Below are 19,934 nucleotides of genomic sequence, written 5' to 3'. Positions count from 1 at the left end.
CGGGATTCATCTTAACTTTATTGGAAATTAAGAAATCTGGGAATAACAAAGTCTAGACACAAACAATCTGTTTTTGTCCCTATCCAGGTCTAGCTGAAGTACATCCTGAAGCCCTACTCATTCTCCTGGCATCTGCATGCTATTGTGAAAAGTTATATTTGGGGTTAATGGAAAGATGCTAAGGCTATAATCAGTGACTTTTTGCTGATGTCACTGGTGTCTATGAGGGAGACAGTGTAGTAAAGAAACAGACATAGAATGTTCTTTTGGTTCTCCTGTTCAATGGAAGTGGTATGGTTTTTCCTAAATTCCTTTAGCATATGATCCATCTTGGTAACAAAGCCATTTAGATTGACACTGGGGACAGCCCTCAACAAAATTACGGGTAAGCCATAGCATGGATAAAAAGAATGGTATATTTAGGAAACTGCAAATAATTCAGTATTCTTAGAGTAAGAATATTGGAGAGTAATAGGAAAGGGGGGCAGAAGCAAGAAAAGGAAGTTTGGATTTTATCCTATAGGGAAAGGATTTGAAGCAGGAGAGATGCCCACCTTGTGCATGCGTTTTTGATAATGTTGGCGACAGGGTAATAAATGCGCTGGAGCAAAACTGGGGCAAATAAATGACAGGGAGTACTCATCTGTATAAGATTGGCAATGGAAGAGGATCTAATGAAGGAAACAGAGCAGAAACCTTCAGAAAAAAGGGTGGTGGACCAAAAGAGCACACTGTCCAGGAAGCCAGAGAGTAGTTAATTTCAAGGAGGTGTGAAAAACAGTATCAAGTGTCACACATTTGTAGCTATTGCATTAGGCAATGAGGAGTTCGTTGGTGACCCTGCCATTGGTGGTTTGGATGGTGGTAGAGGTGGAAGCCAGATTTTAGTCATTTGATGAGCCCATGAGAGATGAGAAAATAAATATCACTGGTGAAGCTCACTCTTCTGAGAAGCTTGAATGTGAGAGATGGAGTGATAAATCGTGGGAGGCCAATGAACTCAGGAAGCCTTTTTCTATAAGGGGAGATGTGGCAATGCTTATCAGTCAATGGAAAGATAAAGAAGACGGGGAATAAATCAAAGCATGGAGGAAACTGGAAGGAAGTCGGCCTAGAATAGGAGGGGAGACTGAAGCGATTATTTGTAGGGTATAGGGATGAGGATCAGTTTGTAGTAGGAGAAGCTAGAAGAGTGATGATTCTTCATCTTGATAGCCTCCGTGTTCTGAGAAGTGGATCTGTTCTGCTTAAAATGAGGGTGTAAGTGGGAAAGGTTTAGGAGAGGCACTTACTGAAGTCTTCCTTCTGGGTAAGACAGCATTCTACCACCCATGGCCAAATTCCTAGCCCAGTTTCAAGACATTTCTTATGAGAATTTTACTCCAACAACCTTGTTTTAGAATCAGAAACATCTTGAAAAAAACATGTTTGATAAAGCCTTAAAATTCAGGCAAAATATTTGTTGTTTATCCCTCAATGACCTTGTGCTGTTTTCATTTAGGGGGGGTTTCTGTCTCAAACACTGTTAGTGGTCTCTCAGCTTACTGTAACTGCAACAGAAGAGTTAGTGCCTGTTATACAACCAGAATTAGAGGTTAACCTGTTTTTTATGCACAGTTCATCTAATGCATCTGCTTAGGGTAGTCAAAAGATTTTGGCCTTAGATTATGTCAGCAACTGGAACTTGAGGACCTTCCGGCCTGTTCTGTTGCAATCCCAAAGCCATAAGCTGTTGATGAGAGAAGTCAGACAAAAGGAAGGCACTTACATCTAGCCTTGGCTCATTGCCTGTTTGGTCTAGGTAGCATCCATGGTTGGAAGACCTATATTAAGTTTTTTCAATTTTTATAAAGCCACAGATGCATTATTAAATGACTTTTTCTTCTGCATTTGTCTTAATTTTCATGTATGCATCAGATTCTAGCAAGCACAGAGGTAATATTTTAGAGGCCAGATAACATGGTAGATAATTTTTCAGGTTTTTGAGTCAAACAGAAATGGAGGCAAATCCCAGATCCACTGCTAATTAAATGTTTAACCTTAGGCAAGTCACCTAACTTCCCTGAGCTTCAGATTCCTCATCTGTAAAGTTGGAAAACTAGTAATAGTGCCTACACAATGGGTTGTTGGATAATGTATGTAAATTGCCTAGTGTGACACCCAGCATAAAGTATGTTACTGTATTACATAACAGTATTACTTACTGTTATGCTCAGTCTTGCTGTTTTGTTGCTATAGTCATAATAATTATAATAATGACCCATATATGTAATAAGTTACTTTGGAAGGAAGGAAACATTATGTCCTTGTAGGTCAATCTGAGACTTGATAATTTCTAGGTAGGATGGGTGCCACAGAAGAAGCAAGAGTCAAGGTAGGATGGAATTCACATGTTGTATGTGATTTGACTAGCCGACCCCTCCTCACCTTGAGATGCAGCAATTCTAGTGTTGGTTCCTTGTACATGTTATATTTTGGGGAGCCCCACAAGGCCCATCTAACTAAAGTAATTCCCTTAGCAGCGTACTATTTCACAATTAAATTCATTCCCATAAGGATTTTCTTCAGATGCAAACTTAGTATGTGGTGCAGGGAATTGTCTAGGAGAGCAGCATATTAATTCTTCATTAAAACACTTTATGGGGGCCTGGAGGGAATGGGGGCCTGGAGGGAATGGAGCAGAAGATGGATATGTTTGGATTGACAAGATCACCTGAGAAAGACAAGCCTAGGTGGGAACCACTGAAGGTAGCATGCAGAAGTGTGGTGCTAGGTATATGGCAGAATAGCTGCAAAGTGGGAAGAGGTGGAGGAATAGCACTGATATACTTCATCTCCACAGTATTGTCTAGAATGAAACTTGGACGCCTACATGCAAAGACTGACAGCTTGGAATTCTGGTTCCTCTTTTTATTTAAGATCGCTAGCCAAAATAACTTTGCTTCCCTATCACAGCTCCTCAATGTCACACTTTTCTTATCTGCCTCAGCTGATGAAAAAGAAGAGTCCTCACCACCCCTGCCAAAAAAGTGACAGAGATCACACACTAATAGGCTGCAAATCACTTAAATCATATTTTGAGTGGTGTATTATGGTAACCTATAAATAACTAATTGTGTAAAATTGCTTTAGTAGTTTCTAGGTGGCAGCTTTAATTAAAAGCACCAGAGACATTTAGAAGTTTAGAAATGGATGGCATGTAATTTGCCCTTTTACCAACCATAAAATGGTAATTAAGAAATTTGATTCACTTCTTCCTATTGAAAGTTTTATGAGAATAGCAAGTTCCTTCTAAATACAGTTTCTCTTCAGCAAAAGGTAGTATGTTTGCTTTATCAGTCTTCTCCAGCAGGGTAAGATGTTTTAATGTACAGATTCTTCAGAAGTTAATTAGGACACTTCTGTCCATGCAAAATGTTTGTTTTTAAGATTCTAAAACATAAAGCTGTATTAGAGTTGAACTTTGATCATGGCTCCATATTAGTCCACCATCAATACAAGATGGTCCAGTAATTTCACGATTACCAAATGCATGGAGCTGACTATAAAATTAAAGAAATTGGGAAGTCATTTCCTGGTGAGACTAGCATGCTTTGCTGATTTTTGAAGGAATCTGAAGTCTACAGTGTGTTGACTTCCTAGGGAATCCAGAATATTCACTCTACACTAGCAGAGTCATAAAAGATCATTTTAGCTTCATGGATCCTCCAGAAATACTGGATAAATTAGTAGTTTTATAGTGTAAAATTCAAACAACATGCAGCAAACTAAGATTTCTTTGGAAATCTATGAATTTAACACTGTCACAGGCTAAAACACAGCTGGAAATAGAGTAAAGAAGTTCATTTTTTATTTTATAATTGAACAATTGATTCCATTTTTGGCCACTTCAGCCCAGGGTTTATAGATGTCACTACTCAGGGCACTTACAACAGCATCATTAATGACATAAGTTATATGCAACATAAAGACAGCTTCTGGGTTTTTTTGTTGGGAAAAAAAAAAAAAAACCCAGGAGTACCTCATAGTCAGCCGCTTTTTTTTTTTTTTTTTTTTTTTTTTTACGTCAAGCATATGTTTAAAAGTTATCTAAGCTGGACAGATCTAAGCAGAAAATAGGGGATGTTTAAAATGTCTCCTCTTCATCCCATCTTTCAGTGACTCCCTGCCTAACTCTGAGCCCCTTGCGGCAGCCCTCAGTCTATCTCTCCTAGATAGAAATCCAACTTTTTGTCTCCTCTCTTCCCTAATCAGAACTGGGTGGGTATAAGTGGCATACTAAAGGGGGATGGGACAGTGGAAGAAGTATTTTATCACTGACATTATTTGGAATTTCCAGCGAATGTTGATAGTTAAAGCAGACCTACTATTCACCAGATTTATTATTGTTTTTTAAGATTTCAACAGAAAATGCACTTCCCCTTACTCTCTATACCCAGAACCAACCACTCCCACCTGCTCCCCCAAACCTTGGTACGCCCCTGCAGGTATAAGGAAGATATTCACAAGATAGCATTCAATGAAAAGTTCAGGACACAAAGCTGTATGTACTGTATGCTGCCTCATCTGTAAGGGTGTAAGGGTAATATATATATTATATATTATATATTACTCTATATTGTATATTATATAAGTATATATTATATATTACTCTATATTGTATATTATATAATTGTATATTACATATTATTCTATATTATATATTATATAAGTATATATTATATATTACTCTATATTGTATATTATATAATTATATATTATATATTAATCTATATTATATATTATATATTACTCTATATTATATAATTATATATTATATATTATGATGTATTATATAATTATATATAATATATTACTATATATTATATATTATATATTACTATATATTATATATTATATAATACTATATATTATATATTATATATTATATATAGTATTATATATAGTACTATATATTATATAATATATAATATATTACTATATATTATAATATATATTATATATAGTACTATATATTATAATATATAGTACTATATATTATAATATATATTATATATAGTACTATATATTATAATATATAGTACTATATATTATAATATATAGTACTATATATTATATATAGTACTATATATTATAATATATATTATTATATATTATATATAGTACTATATATTATAATATATAGTACTATATATTATATAATATATATTATATAGTACTATATATTATATATGACATAATATATATTATATATTACTATATATTATATATTTCTCTCTATGTATATAGAGAGAGAAAGTTTGAAAGGGAGTATATGTAAATGTTAGCAATGATAATTGCTATATAAGGGCATAAGGAATTATAAGTGACTTTTCTTCTCTTTAATTTTCTGAGCATTTATTATAATTCAACAAAAGACCAGATATTATTTTTTGAGTTGATGTCTAGTTATGAAATAAAGTGCAACTTTTGTATTTTTCTTAAAAATACATGTATGTTATTTTCTCACATACACACCCTGTCTTGTCCTATGGCCCGATTTCTGAGGACTCAGCTCTCTGTTTTCATAGATGACAGCTCTCCAAGAAGGAGTGTCATAGTACTGATGGTTGACAATGGGTTACTCCCACCTGAGCATGTTACAGGAGACCTGCTGAAGGGGCAATACCGTAAGTCAAGGAAGAAACCTAAATGGAAGACCTTGAAGGAATCCTGGCAGGCCAGTAGTAAAAGATATTTAAATTACATTTATTTTTTTTAAAAAAGAGTAGGAGAAAGAAGAAAAATTTAAAAGGCATCTAGATAAGCACTCTTGACATTGAAACATAAAAATGTAAAAGTAATAAAATGTCTATGGTTTGATAGTTCAAACTGTATAGAAAGATACAAAAGAAATTTCAGGCTTCTTTGCCACAAACACACCCAGGTCTCTCTCTGTAAAGATAACCAATTTTAACAGGCTTTTGAGATTCCTTCCAGACCTATATATATATTTTTCCCTTACATAAAAGGAAACCATACCATATAGATTACTCCTCACCCTGCTTCTTTTATTTAATAATATGTCTTGAAGATCTTTCCATAAAAGCAGGTACATTTCTACCTCTTTGTTTTTAAGAGCTGCACGATATTATAACATATGGATACACCATAATGTATTAAGCCAGTTGCCTCTTGATATACTTGTTGCTTGTTTTTAATCTTTTATTATTACAGTGCTGCAATGAATAACCTGGTTCATATATTTTGGAGCACTTTTGTGAGTATATACATAGGGTTAATTTTTAGCAGTAGTAGATATTGCCAAATTGTCCTCCCAAAAGATTGAACACATTTACAGTCTCACTAATAGTGTATCAGAGTGCCAGTCTGCAATACCCTCAGCAGCTCTCAATATAAACCTCCTAATGTATGCCCATCTGAGCAGTGGGAAATGGTGTCTTGTAGCTTGTAACTTTAATTTCCATTCCTTTAATTATCAATGAATTTGAGTCTCATTTCATATCTGTTGTGACCATTTGTATTTCTTTTTTGGTAAATTCACTTTCATATCCCCTTCCAGTTTTTCTACTGAGCTGTTGTCCTTTCTGTTCTGGAAATTAAGAAAAACATCCCTTTGTCTTTCATATGTGTTCCAAATATTTTTCCAAGCTTGTCATTTTTTTCTCTTTTTTTAACCCTATAGAATTTTCTAACTTCATATGGTCAGATTTATCAATATATCTTCTTAACATCTCTAGAGTTTGTGTCCAGCTGGAAGAATCTTCCTGTCGTAAAGATATAATATATTTAAGGCAGGTGGGCAGACTTTTTAGTGACCCTTAAATCATACCATGTGCCTCTCCAATTTGAGCCCTGTGAAATTTGGAAAACTTAGGAAGTGTTTGCAGTAGTTAAAACCAGAGACTTTGGAATAGTACAGATAAAAATGGGCTCAAATTTATTTTGAATCCATCTTTGAGCCACTGTTTTGTCATCTGTAAAATGGAAATAGTACCTACCTTCATTATGGGTTTATAGAGGATGAAATGACGCAAGATGGGTTAAACAGTGCCTGGCACAGAATAAGTACTGAATGAAGTATGATGATGAGAAAGAGGATAAGTATTAAAATACTTTTTTAAGCTAATAACTATTATTAAGTAGATTATTTTCAAGATTTGTAATAAACATTTTGTTTTCAAAATTGTTTGACTGCATTCAAATTTTCTTCTTTCAGACTTCATTGATTGTACAGACACAGCCCTAATTTAATTCTGTTTACGTGGAAAATTCATTGTTCAACTAAAGGGGAAAAATTGCAACATCAGAGAGATGAGCTAGAGGGTGCTTGACTGAAGAAGAGTGTATGGACAGTCACAAGTACACACATGCATAAGACATGTGCTATGATATTAACTGTAGTATAAAAAATAGAAACAACCTAATAATCCATTGACAGGGGGTTGGTCAAATGATGGAACATTTATACAACAGTAAAAATGAATGAGCTAGATCTACATGTAAAACCATTAATAGTCAAAAATATAATGTTGCATGGATAAAAGAGAAAATTGCAAAAGGATACATAAGGTGTAATATAATTTACGTGTTTTTATTGTGGTAAAATATACATAACAATATTTACTATTTTATTATACATACAGTTCTGAGGCATTAAGTACGTTCACATTATTGTTTAGCCATCACTGTCATCCATCTCCTACATAAATTTTTAAAGCACAAAAACAATACTATATATTATTCATGGATATATACACATATGTGGAAAATTTATAAAAACATGCATGGGAATGATACACACTAACTTCAGGACAGTAGTTACCTCTGGAGAAGGAAGGAAAAAGAGGATAGGGATAAGGAGATGGGATTGGCTATATCCATATCATTTCCTTTTTAAGAAATAGATATGTGCCGGGCGCGGGCGCGGTGGCTGACGCCTGTAATCCCAGCACTTTGGGAGGCCGAGGCGGGCAGATTACAAGGTCAGGAGTTCGAGACCAGCCTGGCCAACATGATGAAACCCCATCTCTACTAAAAATAAAAAGGAATTAGCCAGGCGTGGTGGTGGGTGCCTGTAATCCCAGCTACTCAAGAGGCTGAGGCAGGAGAATCTCTTGAACCCGGGAGGTGGAGGTTGCAGTGAGCCAAGATCACGCCACTGCACTCCAGCCTGGGTGACAGAGAGAGACTCCATCTCAAAAAGAAAAAAAAAAGAAAGAGATATGTGAAGCAAATGATAACATCTATTAAATTTTGGTGGTGGATGCATGATGGTCTGTAATATTATTTTCTGACTTTTCTAACCAGTTGAAATATTTCCTAATTTTGAAACATTTTAAGTCAGAAGTAGGGTTTAGAAATATCAGCACTTTGGGAGGCTGAGGCAGGCGGATCACTTGAGGTCAGGAGTTCGAGACCAGCCTGGCCAACACAGTGAAACCCCATCTCTACTAAAAATACAAAAATTAGCTGGGCATGGTGGCGTGTGCCTGTAATCCTAGCTACTCGGGAGGCTGAGGCGGAAGAATCACTCGAACCTGGGAGACAGAGGTTGTGGTGAGCTGAGATTGCGCCACTGCACTGCAGCCTGGGTGACAGAGTGAGACTCTGTCAAAAAACAAACAAACAAACAAACAAAACTAGGGTTTAGAAATCAACTTACAAATGTATGCCTGACTATTCCATTTCAGAAAGTGATTTGTTTTGTTTTGTTTTGTTTTAAATAAGACTTTCACTCCTATAGAAATGATGGTCAAAATATTTAACATCCTGTAACGCACAGGTACCAACATATGAGAACACACACCAGTTTTGGCCTTGGAGCAGGTTCATCAAGGACCCCTGCATTAATCCGTTATTTTCTGAACAGATTGGTTTTGAAGCTCTTCCATTAGCTGTAGAGACCATCACCTCAGCACCTCTAGTATGTACCCATATGTGGAGTTTCCTAAATGGCTGACAGTGAACTTCCTGAGAGAGCCTCCGTATAATGAGTCAGCTTTATCGTTGACCGAAGAAAGTCACTGTTCCCTTGGGAGTGAGTTCTGGCCCATTTAAAGTTTCCCCCTGAGGAATCACAGGCTTAATAACTCAAATGTGAGGTTATCTTCAAGCCTCAAATATCAAAGCCTAGCCAGGAAGCCCCAGTGTTATTTGCTCTATTTTTCTTCCAGTTTCATTTACTAGCTATTCCATTTGATTTTTCAAAAAGCTTATTAGACTGTGTTTAGGGGCAACACAATTTTCAAAAAGCTTATTAGACTGCATTTGGGGGAAACAGTCTAATGGGTTTGGGGGAAAAGGAAGGTGGGTAGGTGCCCCATTTTACCTGTATTTACTCAGGAAAGGAAGCTGACTACAGTGGTAATTTCTCTTAGTGGGCAGGAATTATTTCTCATTTTGGAAAGCATCTCTAACCCGAGGAAATTGAAGCCATAGTAATAGATTGATAGGTCTGCTTTGTCCCTCCGCAAGCCAAAATCCATCAGAATAGATTCTGCTAAGCTTACCTATATTGGTTTTCATAATCCTTTCTCTGTGTTCTCTTGAGCAAAGTAAAATCAGAACTGCAGGCAGGCTACTACTGGAGCCCTATTTAATGAATTGGGGCAAGATCTCACCTTTCCCAGAGTAGTAAAACTGGGGACATTTCCAGGGAGAGTGGACAGAAGAAGGGTTACTTTGAAATCTTCTGATTTTCACTTGTTATACTTGAAATTTTGAGAAACCACAGATCAACAGTTAGCACCCTAAAATGTTTCTTTCCGTTGTACTTTTCTTACGAATGCTGGGCACTTTTTCCCAAGTATATCTGATCTAATTTTAACAGTATGACATTATTCAAATAATGTATTGAATGTTAAAAAAAAATACTAGCCAATTTACAAATGACCAAAACCACTTGCTTCTGCTTTGGCCCTAAAATGATATCTTCCTAGTTCCTGGAAATGCTGGAGATGTTTGAGCTGTTGAATTAAGGAATGAATCACTGTAGTTGTAACAATGGCGTCTGGAAGTATTTTCATACAACTCAGTTTTGTTTTGTTTTCATTCCTTTATCAGAGTCACTGCCTGTTATTAATTACTCATTTTTTAAATTGCTCAAATTGTTATGTTTCTAAAATAGACCTTAATCATCTATTTTATGAACATATAAAGTGTGTTTATATATATAAAGTAGTCTTGTATGGCAGGAACTGTGCTAAATGCTATAGTCAAACACCACAACCATCTCTTGTTGCAGCACAAACTTACTGGTTATCCGACAGGAATCCAGAGATGCCATTATATTAATTAATACTTTAAATATATTTATTTTACTGATGTCAACAACACACTAGTGTCAATGGCCCCACCTTACTATTCATAAGATTCCCACTGGTTTTAGCTACTGTAGCACGTCCACATCATGCGCCTGGTATATCTTGTTAGAAAAAGAACCACATTCACTGAGCTTTATTGTTTTGTTAAGTTTTTCAAGCAACAAATTTGGAAATCATAAGTAAACTAAGAAGATATGGTCCCTGCCCTTGAGTGGAATATTATCTCTTTGGGGAGACACGGGAGGACTCATTAGAAAAGACTAAAATACAGAATTAGGTTGCATGCATCAACTTTAAATACCACGGGGATTCGCAGACTGGAGAGCTGGTTGGGGTTTGGAGAGAAAAAAAAAGGGGGAAAATGAGAACAGGGAAGAAGTGGAGAAAAAGGAAGGAATCTGAAAAAGGATGGGACACAAAGGTAAAAAAGAACTAGGAACTAGATTCTAACCTCTATTCCTGATGGGTTAAGTGAACTCCAAAAGAAATAAGAGATCAAGGAATAAGGCATAACTAAGATGGGGCACGGTGGCTCAGGCCTGTAATCCCAAAGATTTGGGAGGTCAAGATAGGAGGATCACTTGAGCCCAGGAGTTCAAGACCAGCCTGGTCAACATAGTGAGACCCCCATATCTACAAAAAAATTGTTTTAATTTGCCAGGTGTGGTGTTATGCACCTGTGGTCCCAGCTATTAGAGAGGCCGAGGGGGAATGATGTCGGGAGCCCAGGAGTTCGAGGCTGCAGTGAGTTGTGATCATGCCACTGCACTCCAGCCTGGGCGACAGAGCAACACCCTGTCTCTATAAATAAGTAATAAAACCAAAACATAAATAAATACTAACATCACTTGTGTTGAGCTTTCAGAAAGATTTCACACATAGAAGTTATTTTATATGGTCTTTACAGTCATCCACTGACATGAGCAGCTCAGCTTTTCTACTCACTATTAGACAAAGGCAAAACCTGAGGACTGGGAGACTATTTAAATTTGTTAAAGTCACAGTCAGTCTCACAACTGGATCTTCTGGCTTCTAGCCCAGACTCTTTACTCCACCTCTCATAGCTCTGATGAACTTGTCTGGATATTTGAGTTTAGAGGAAAATAGACAGGGAAATGGCCTTGGAAACTCCAATCTCAATCAAGACAAGGATAAGGAAGTCACCAGCCCCCTTTGAACAAAACATCCCAGCATTTTAAATGCCTCTCAATGTCGCGTTCTTGTGCCCACAGATTGTCACACTTGTAGGTCAGAGTGTGGAAAGGTAAAAACAGTAAAAGAAGTTGTTTATCTCATTAAACAACTGCTTTGACTATTTTTCGCTTTTTGTTCCGCTGTCATATTTGTGCCTGTGTCTGTGTGTGTATGCTGTTGTTATATTCATATATTCTTGATTGAGCCCAAATCAGTTCTCCCAAACGTCTCTTGAACCTCCACTTAAAAGGTTTAAAATGTGTATTCACGCAGTGCTCATTACCCTGCCTTACCTTTTGCAAATGACTGTCTACCACTCCTGACTTTGTGAACTTCTCTTCTAGCACTAGCTTCATTAGTCAAGACATACGGATGCAGGGAGAATTTTAAATGGGCCCTCTGTGTTGTTTTTGAATGGGCACTACATGCAAATCATTATCCTAAAGAAATTTTAATTCCTCTTGAGTTACCCCACTTTTGTGAATAGTGAGCACTATTGGCTTAATTCCTCATATCCTGCTTTTATTGAGTATTTGGGACAAGGTATACTTAGTTTGCTTTTTATATTAGAACCTCTTGGTCATTCACATACCTTGAGATAGACTCATTTTCCCTAGAGTGCAACAACTGCAATTAGTTTTTTGCTGGTCCATGGGCAATAAACGAACTTTCCTTCCTAGGGCTAATTGTTCACTAACGTTCTTGTGTGGCAGTTGCCTTCCTTAGGATGACAGCGACAGTTCTTTCAAATGTATCTGAGTAGTGTCTCAGATATCGTTGCTTGATGTTTGAGGAATTTCTAAAGGGGGAGATATAAAATATGCAGCTCAGATTTAGTAAACCTCATTTATCTTAGCCCATATATACTGAGAACCCTTAAATCTCAGCCTGCAGGCATCTTTTGAGTGGGAACTCTAACACAAAAATAAAACAAGACATGTGCATTTCAACTTGAACTAGCACCATCTACTTACCCCAATCTCTCTCTCTCTCTCTCCACACACACACACACACACACACACACACACACACACACACCCCAACCTCTATAAAGCAAAGAAAAATAAATCACATTATTATCAGTGTCTGGTTTCACTGTTAAATGTTGAGACATTACCACCACCTTGGCCAAGGGTCTTCCTTAGCGAGTTGCACGGCATGGAACCTCATTTATTTGATTCTGTGTACGGAAACTTTAACCATCTTATAAAAGCTTGAAGGCTTTTACACCAATAATTTAATAGTGTAGTATTTCCCCTGAGCTAACAAAACTGTTTTCAACTACTGAATTGTCTCTATGGTGAATCTAACATAGGGTGCTCTCCTACTGACAAGGGTTACATAATGCTCCATGGACTTAAATCTTATTTACAGAACACAGAAAAGCCTAAAGTGTTCAAGCAGGGCCTGTGTGGAAATTTTTGACTATGATTCTAGGCTTAGAAAAGTCACTGTCAGAAAGAATTATAGCAATAACTAGGCAATTAAGATACCACTTAGCACCACCATAATACTTTATCTTCTTCAAAGTCCTTTCATTTCATTGGCTCTTGTGAGCTTCACACCATGTTACCTTGTGTAGTAGGTAGTATATAAGTTAAGAAATCAAGACACTGAGCGGTCAAATGCATTATCCAAAGTTCTACAGCTATTCTGTAAGAAAAATCAGCCTGAAAAAAAATCCTGAGGCACTTCTGTTTCTTCAGAACTCCTAACATGGTAAGGTCGGAAGAGATCACAAGATCGCAAACAAAGTTATATTGACAGAACAACTGGATTTGTGTGTGTGGTGGGGGGAGCGGTGTCATGAGCTATTCATTGTAGCTATCCACATGGATCACATTTGTTTGCAGTTAATTTGATCCATGGTCCTTTGTCTGTTTGCTCTTGGTTGTCAACCCCACTTTTCCCATATTCCAATCATCACTAATTGATAGGGGACTGTATTCCTCTTAAAGGACTTTAGAGAAAGACATTGTCACTGCATCCTTTCTAAGCTCATTTCTAGTGAAATTCATATGCAGTTCTTGGCCTCCTGGCATGCTTTATTTTGTTCAAGGTAGATATGTTTCAGTATAAATGCATGGAAATTTAGTCCTGTAAATCAGGAAGGTTTATTGAACATTTGTGCCCAAGTGTACTGAATTATTTGAGATATAAAAACTAATTCTAAAATCCAGTTCCTGTCCTCAGGGAGCTTATTACCTACATGGATCATGATTGGAGAATTCACATTAACAAATAAATAAATAAGTAACAGCTTCTGTGGGTTAGAAAACAGACCACAATGAACTGGAGTTTGCAGGGAAGGATTCATGAAAGGGAAACTTCCTATAAAAGCCTTAAAAGGTGAATAGGATTTGGGTTGCTGAATGTTAATACTCGGGCCAAGCTAACAACCATATTAAACACACACACCCTCCCCCCCACCCCCACCCCCCCCACACACACACACAGTATCTCAATAGCTTAACAAAAATAGTAACTTATTTCATTCTTACATCACAATTTAATGTGGGTTGCCTGGGGAGTGGAAGAATCTCTGCTCCAAGCAGTGATTCAAGGAACCAGCCTTCTTCCATCTAGTGATTCCTCAATGCCTTAGGCCTTGGAGTCCTCTACTGGATGGTCTGCATGCAGCCAGCCTACAGTGGAAGGTAGTAATCCATACAGAAACTCAGTAGATAGTTCCTTAAGGATCAGGCCTAGAAGTCGCATCCATTACTTCTGCCCACACCTAACTTGGAAAGGAGGCTGAGAAACGTAATCTAACTCTGTTCTCAGAAAGAAAGAGAAACGGGATGACATGAACACATAGCATTGTCTCTGTCATACTGAAAATGAAACGACCTTATTAATTTTAATTGATACATATAGATATATATATTTGGGAGCTATGTGTGATAATTTCATACATTTGTATAATTTGTAAAGATCAAATCAGTATAATTAGGATATTCATCACCTTAAATAGTTGTCTTTTCTTTATGCTAGAAACATTCAAATTATTCTCTTCTAGTTATTTTGAAATATACAATGGATTATTGTAACCTACATCACTCTACTGATTTATCAAACCCTAGTTCTTATTTCTTCTATCATTGATTAATGGGTATAAATATACCTCTCTTCATCCTCCCTTACCCTTCCCAGCCTCCGGTAACGACTAATCTACTCTCTTTTTTAGCTCCCACGTATCAGTGAGAACATGTGATATTTGTGTTTCTGTGCTTGACTTATTTCACTCAACATAATAACCTCTAGTTCCATCCATGTTGCTGCAAATGATAAAATTTCCTTCTTTTTATGGCTGAATAATATCCTATTGTGTATATGTGCCACATTTTCTTTATCCATTCACCTATTGATGGGTACTTAGTTGATTCCATATTTTGGCTGTTGTGAATAGTGCTGCAATAAACACGGGAGTGCAGATATCCCTTTGATATACTGATTTCCGTTATTTTCTATATATACCCAGTAGTAGTAGTGGAATTGCTAGATCATATGATAGTTCTATTTTTAGTTTTTTGAGGGACCTTCATTCCATTTTTTGTAGTGGCTATCCTAATTTACATTTCCACCAACAATATATGAGGATTCCCCTTTCTCCACATCCTCACCAGCATTCATTATTCCCTATCTTTTTTAATAAAAGCTATTTTGACCTAGGTGAGTTGATATCCCACTGCGTGGGGTCTCCTTTTTAGGTGGTAATTCTATGATAATAGTAAAGTTACTGAACTCCCCACCACATGGAAGGTCTTGAGTACTTTCTTGAAACTCATCAGCTCTGTGAAGATGAAGCCACAGAATACCTTTGAAGAATAATTCTGAAGAAGTCTAAGAGATCTATAGGAATACAAGAATTCTTAACAATTTTTGGGACGGGTCAGAGATCCTTTTGACAATCTAACAAAGCCAATGGGCTCTCTCCCCATGATAATACCCATACACAAAACATTTTGTGGATAATTTCATGGAGTTTCTGAACCTTCTTAAGCCAGTCTGTACCCCATCCCTGTGGTAAAGCAATTGATAACCTCATTTAAGCTACATGGCATAGTGGTTAAGAGAATGGGCATTAAACTCAGACAAACTTGTGTTAAACTAGCATTTTCTTTTTTTTTTTTTTCAACTTCTACTTTAAGTTCAGGGGTACATGTACAGGTTTATTACGTAGGTAAACATATGTCATAGGGGTTTGTTGTGCAGATTATTTCATCACCCAGGTATTAAGCTTAGTATCCATTAGTTGTTTTTTCTGATCCTCTCCCTCCTCCCACCCTCCACTATCCGATAGGCCCCAGTGTGTGTTGTTCCCCTCTATGTGTCTATGTGTTCCCATCATTTAGATCCCACTTATAAGTGAGAACATGTGGTATTTGGTTTTCTGTTCCTGTATTAGTTTGCTAAGGATAATGACCTCCAGCTTTATCCATGTCCCTACAGAGGACATGATCTCATTCCTTTTTATGGATTCATAGTATTCCATGGTGTATATGTACCACATTTTCTTTATACAGTCTATCAGTGATGGGCATTTAGGTTGATTCCATGTCTTTGCTACTGTGAACAGTGCTGCAATGAACATACACGTGCATGTGTCTTTATAATAGAATGATTTATATTCCTTTGAGTATATACCCAGTAAGGGGACTGCTGGGTCCAATGGTATTTCTGTCTTTAGGTCTTTAAGGAATCACCACACTGTCTTCCACAATGGTTGAACTAATTTACACTCCTACCAACAGTGTATAAGCATTCCTTTTACTCCACAACCTTGCCAGCATCTGTTATTTTTTGACTTTTAATAATAGCCAATCTGACTTGTGTGAAATGGTATCTCATTGTGGTTTTGATTTGCATTTCTCTAATGATGAGTAATGTTGAGCTTTTTTTCATATGCTTGTTGGCCACATGTATGTCTTCTTTTGAGAAGTGTTTGTTCATGTCCTTTGCCCACTTATTAATGGGGTTGTTTGTTTTTTTCTTTTCTTGTAAATTTGTTTAAGTTCCTTATAGATGCTGGATATTAGACCTTTGTCAGATTCATACTTTGCAAAAATTTTCTCCCATTCTGTAGGTTGCCTGTGTACTCTGTTGATAATTTCTTTTGCTGTACAGAAGTTCATTTGTCAATTTTTGCTTTTGTTGTCATTGCTTTCGGTGTCTTCATTATGAAATCTTTGCCCATGCCTATGTCTGGAATGGTATTGCCTAGGTTTTCTTCCAGGGTTTTTATAGTTTTGGGTTTTACTTTTAAGTCTTTAATCCATCTTGAGTTAATTTTTGTATATGGTATAACGAAGGGGTCCAGTTCCAGTCTTCTGCATATGGCTAGCCAGTTATTGTAGCACCATTTACTGAATAGGGAGTCCTTTCCCCATCGCTTTAAACTAGCACTTTCTAGGTATGTAACCTAGAGTTAGTCACTCTACCTCTCTGCACTTCCATTTCCTCATCTAAAAAATTACATTAGTACCTACTCCACAAGGCTGTTGGGAGGATTGAATGAGAAAATCTATGTAAGGAATCCAGCACAGTACCTGGAATATCATAGTGTTCTCGGCAAATGGAAATGATTATTGTTTAGTAATATTAGTCATCTTTCATAGATTTTCAGTGGTGTTTACCTGGATTTCATACATACTAGGCTCATCTAGAATTCAACATGGTTCTTCAGATTTCAGCTTACCTATCACTTAAGTCTGAGAAATCACTTGTGACTTTCATTTCCCCGGCCCATCCCCCAAGGATGCTCCCATGGCACCTTGGACTTGCCCCAAACTAGTGCTTATCTAATGGCATTGCAATTGCCTGGTTATTTCTCTGTCTCCCTCTACCAGTTTCCAGGCTTTCTAAGAGCAACGCCATGTCTGTTTTATAGTCTCCTGTACTCTCATTGCCTAGGACAGTGCTCACACGCAGAGGGTGCAGAATAAATCTTGAATAAGTTAATGAGTAAACAGAAAAACATTTTTCTCAGTAAGCTTTAAGAAAAATAGTGGTTGGTGGATTTAAAAGGGCTGTCCATTCACTTTGCCTTATGGCAAAGCTGAAGTCTAAAGTTTTGAGAGGATCACAAGGAGCTGAAGACAAGACAAATGCTAAACACTGGTGTCGTCTGTCTTTCTCTCAATCAGAATTCTTGGTTAACTAGCCCACAAATTTATTGTTCTTTATAATGACTATGAAGCCCTTTGAAGTGCCTTTTGAGTAATCAAAATAAGACATTCCAGTCAGCAGAATATTAGTTTGAAAGCTTATCATTTTTAATTTGTGTTTATGTTCTTTGGAAATTGACCTTTACTATGTAGAATATACTAGAACATTTTATTAAACAAAATATCTGATTAAATAACTCACTATTCACTAGTCATATAATATTACAGTGAGTTTATTAGTGTCTCCTTACTGGAGAAATCCTGATGCCACTGTTAACCACACAGTGAAATCATCTCAGCTTGTCATTAAGCTCTGCCTCCTTCCAACCTCTAGTGACACACAGAAATCTGTAAACCCTCCAAGTTCTAGAAGCTCCATTTAGTGGCTACATAGTGAGAAAACTTAACAGGCTTATTATGCATAAGTAACTTGGGCCTTTCTGATCCCAGAGGGTAATTAAGTGGACAGTAGTCAGATGGGTTGAAGAATGGACTTTTCTGCCTAGTAGAGTTTCCATATATACCACACATATAGTACCAATTTTCAGAGAATTGGAATGCACATGAACAAAGAAAAATTCTCCTTGACTAAAAGAACATTTTTGAATCAGTTACACAATTCAGCACTCTCAGTATTGGAGATTGAGCTGACACCATATTAGGCTTAGGAATTTCCCTGGAAGTTGATTTAACCATTTATCTTTGTCTGATAAAATTAAACAGCAGATTGTGGCAGAAAAACATCCAGTATTTCAGTTTTCTTGTTGCTAGGGCTATAGATGAAGAGAATGTTATGACTGCTTTCCAAAGCTTATATTCTGAAAGATGTTTCATTTTTTATATAGAAATAATAAAAATGTAGGTGGCCTCAACAGCTGTAATTTTAAAAAATTAAGTACAGAGATGCCTTCTGCCAACATTTGAAATTGGCATTCTACACAGCCAAAAACTCAAATCTTCACTGTTATCTAATTTGGGATTTAGCTACTATTTCCAGGCTATTAAGCACCACATCTGGACTCTCAGTGATTACATCAGGATGCCCCTGTTCCTTCAGTATTGATCAGTAGCATCTTTTCCCCTCACAGGTGATAAATTTATAAGTAACTATCCAGGCTGCCCCAGCTTTAGGCAATTGTCATCTAAAGAATTAAAGTATTTATTCATTGGAGGATAATAAGACAAGGGAAGAAGTCAAATAATTTTGCCTATAATTTGCAGCTGTTTCATACAGAGCACTGCTTCACAGAGAAAAGAGCCTGCAGTTCAGATATTATATAATATCCCCTACTTTGCATGGGATGTTGTGAATAATTTTTTTACAAGATGCACTTTATTTATGAGCAGGTCTCTCCATAGAAAGAGCTTGTTAGGGCTTAATGCTGATGAATGGAGACAGCACCATTCACACTTCCAGGTTATGGTCTGTCAGTGCTTTCATTATATGCACTAATTTACAAGGATTTATTTATTTTCTCCCAAATGTAAAAATGTGCTCCAAGCTAAACATGCTGTCTGGGCATCTGAGGCCAGTGTTTTCCTTGGTGCAGGGGGATTTTTAAATTCAAAGTTAAATTGAGGGGACTCAAGCTATTGTGTGTTTTCTTCCCACTTCCACCTCCACCTGCCTTGCATCACGGCCTAACCTTGTGGTAATATCAGAGATCTCTGTATTTTTACTTGCTTTGAAAACAAAAATGAATTCCGGTTGAAAATTTTTAAACCTGGAAGTGGTTTTCTTAGTACAGTTTAAATCTTTAAATCTTTTCTCATCCAGAGACTGTACCTTTGATTGTTTAAGTGCTAATGAAAATGCTGTCAGTGAACACATCAATGAACATGACCGTTGGAACAAATTTTGCCCACAACATTGGTTACCAAGTTTTGGAGATCTGGGCACAGCAATATCAAAATTGGAAAGTAAATTGAATCTGCAGATCTTGCTAGCCCCAGATGGCTTTATGTGATCTGAAATCACTCACATGCCCATCTCCAAAGAATAAAGCTTAAAATATATACTGGGAATGTGTCACCTCCTTTCACTCATTCTGACAAGCAGTAATATATCTACAGCATCATCACTATCCCTGGGTTATAACAATAAGCATTATGGGAGGGGAAACCTCCCCAAATGATGGACAAATATTATTCTCTTTTTCATGCCTGGGGTTTCCAATTTGATTTTTACCCTCAGTGAAAATTAAATACCCCTTAAGCTTCACCAGCAAAGAGGTTGCAAAATTGTTGT

General features: G+C 36.8%; 1 protein-coding gene across 15 annotated transcripts in view; it reads left to right on the top strand.

Annotated features, from left to right (window-relative positions):
* TENM1 (teneurin transmembrane protein 1) overlaps positions 1-19,934 on the top strand; it is an 828,410-nt gene that overhangs the window by 727,919 nt on the left and 80,557 nt on the right. For 8 of the 15 annotated variants that reach the window (XM_017029210.3, XM_017029211.3, XM_017029208.3 and 5 more), the window contains one exon: positions 5,571-5,669. The exons of 6 other annotated variants lie outside the window; for them this stretch is intronic. In XM_017029210.3, coding sequence (XP_016884699.1) covers positions 5,571-5,669 — 99 coding nt within the window. Of the gene's footprint in view, positions 1-5,570; positions 5,670-14,061; positions 14,177-19,934 lie in introns of those variants that run through there. One more of the 15 variants, XM_011531237.3, reaches the window with a different exon arrangement.

This window comes from Homo sapiens, chromosome X (genome assembly GCF_000001405.40).
Source record: "Homo sapiens chromosome X, GRCh38.p14 Primary Assembly".
Classification (NCBI taxonomy): domain Eukaryota; kingdom Metazoa; phylum Chordata; class Mammalia; order Primates; family Hominidae; genus Homo; species Homo sapiens.
The sequence above is the reverse complement of the archived record's forward strand: the minus strand, read 5'-3'. Positions and strand labels throughout refer to the sequence as shown.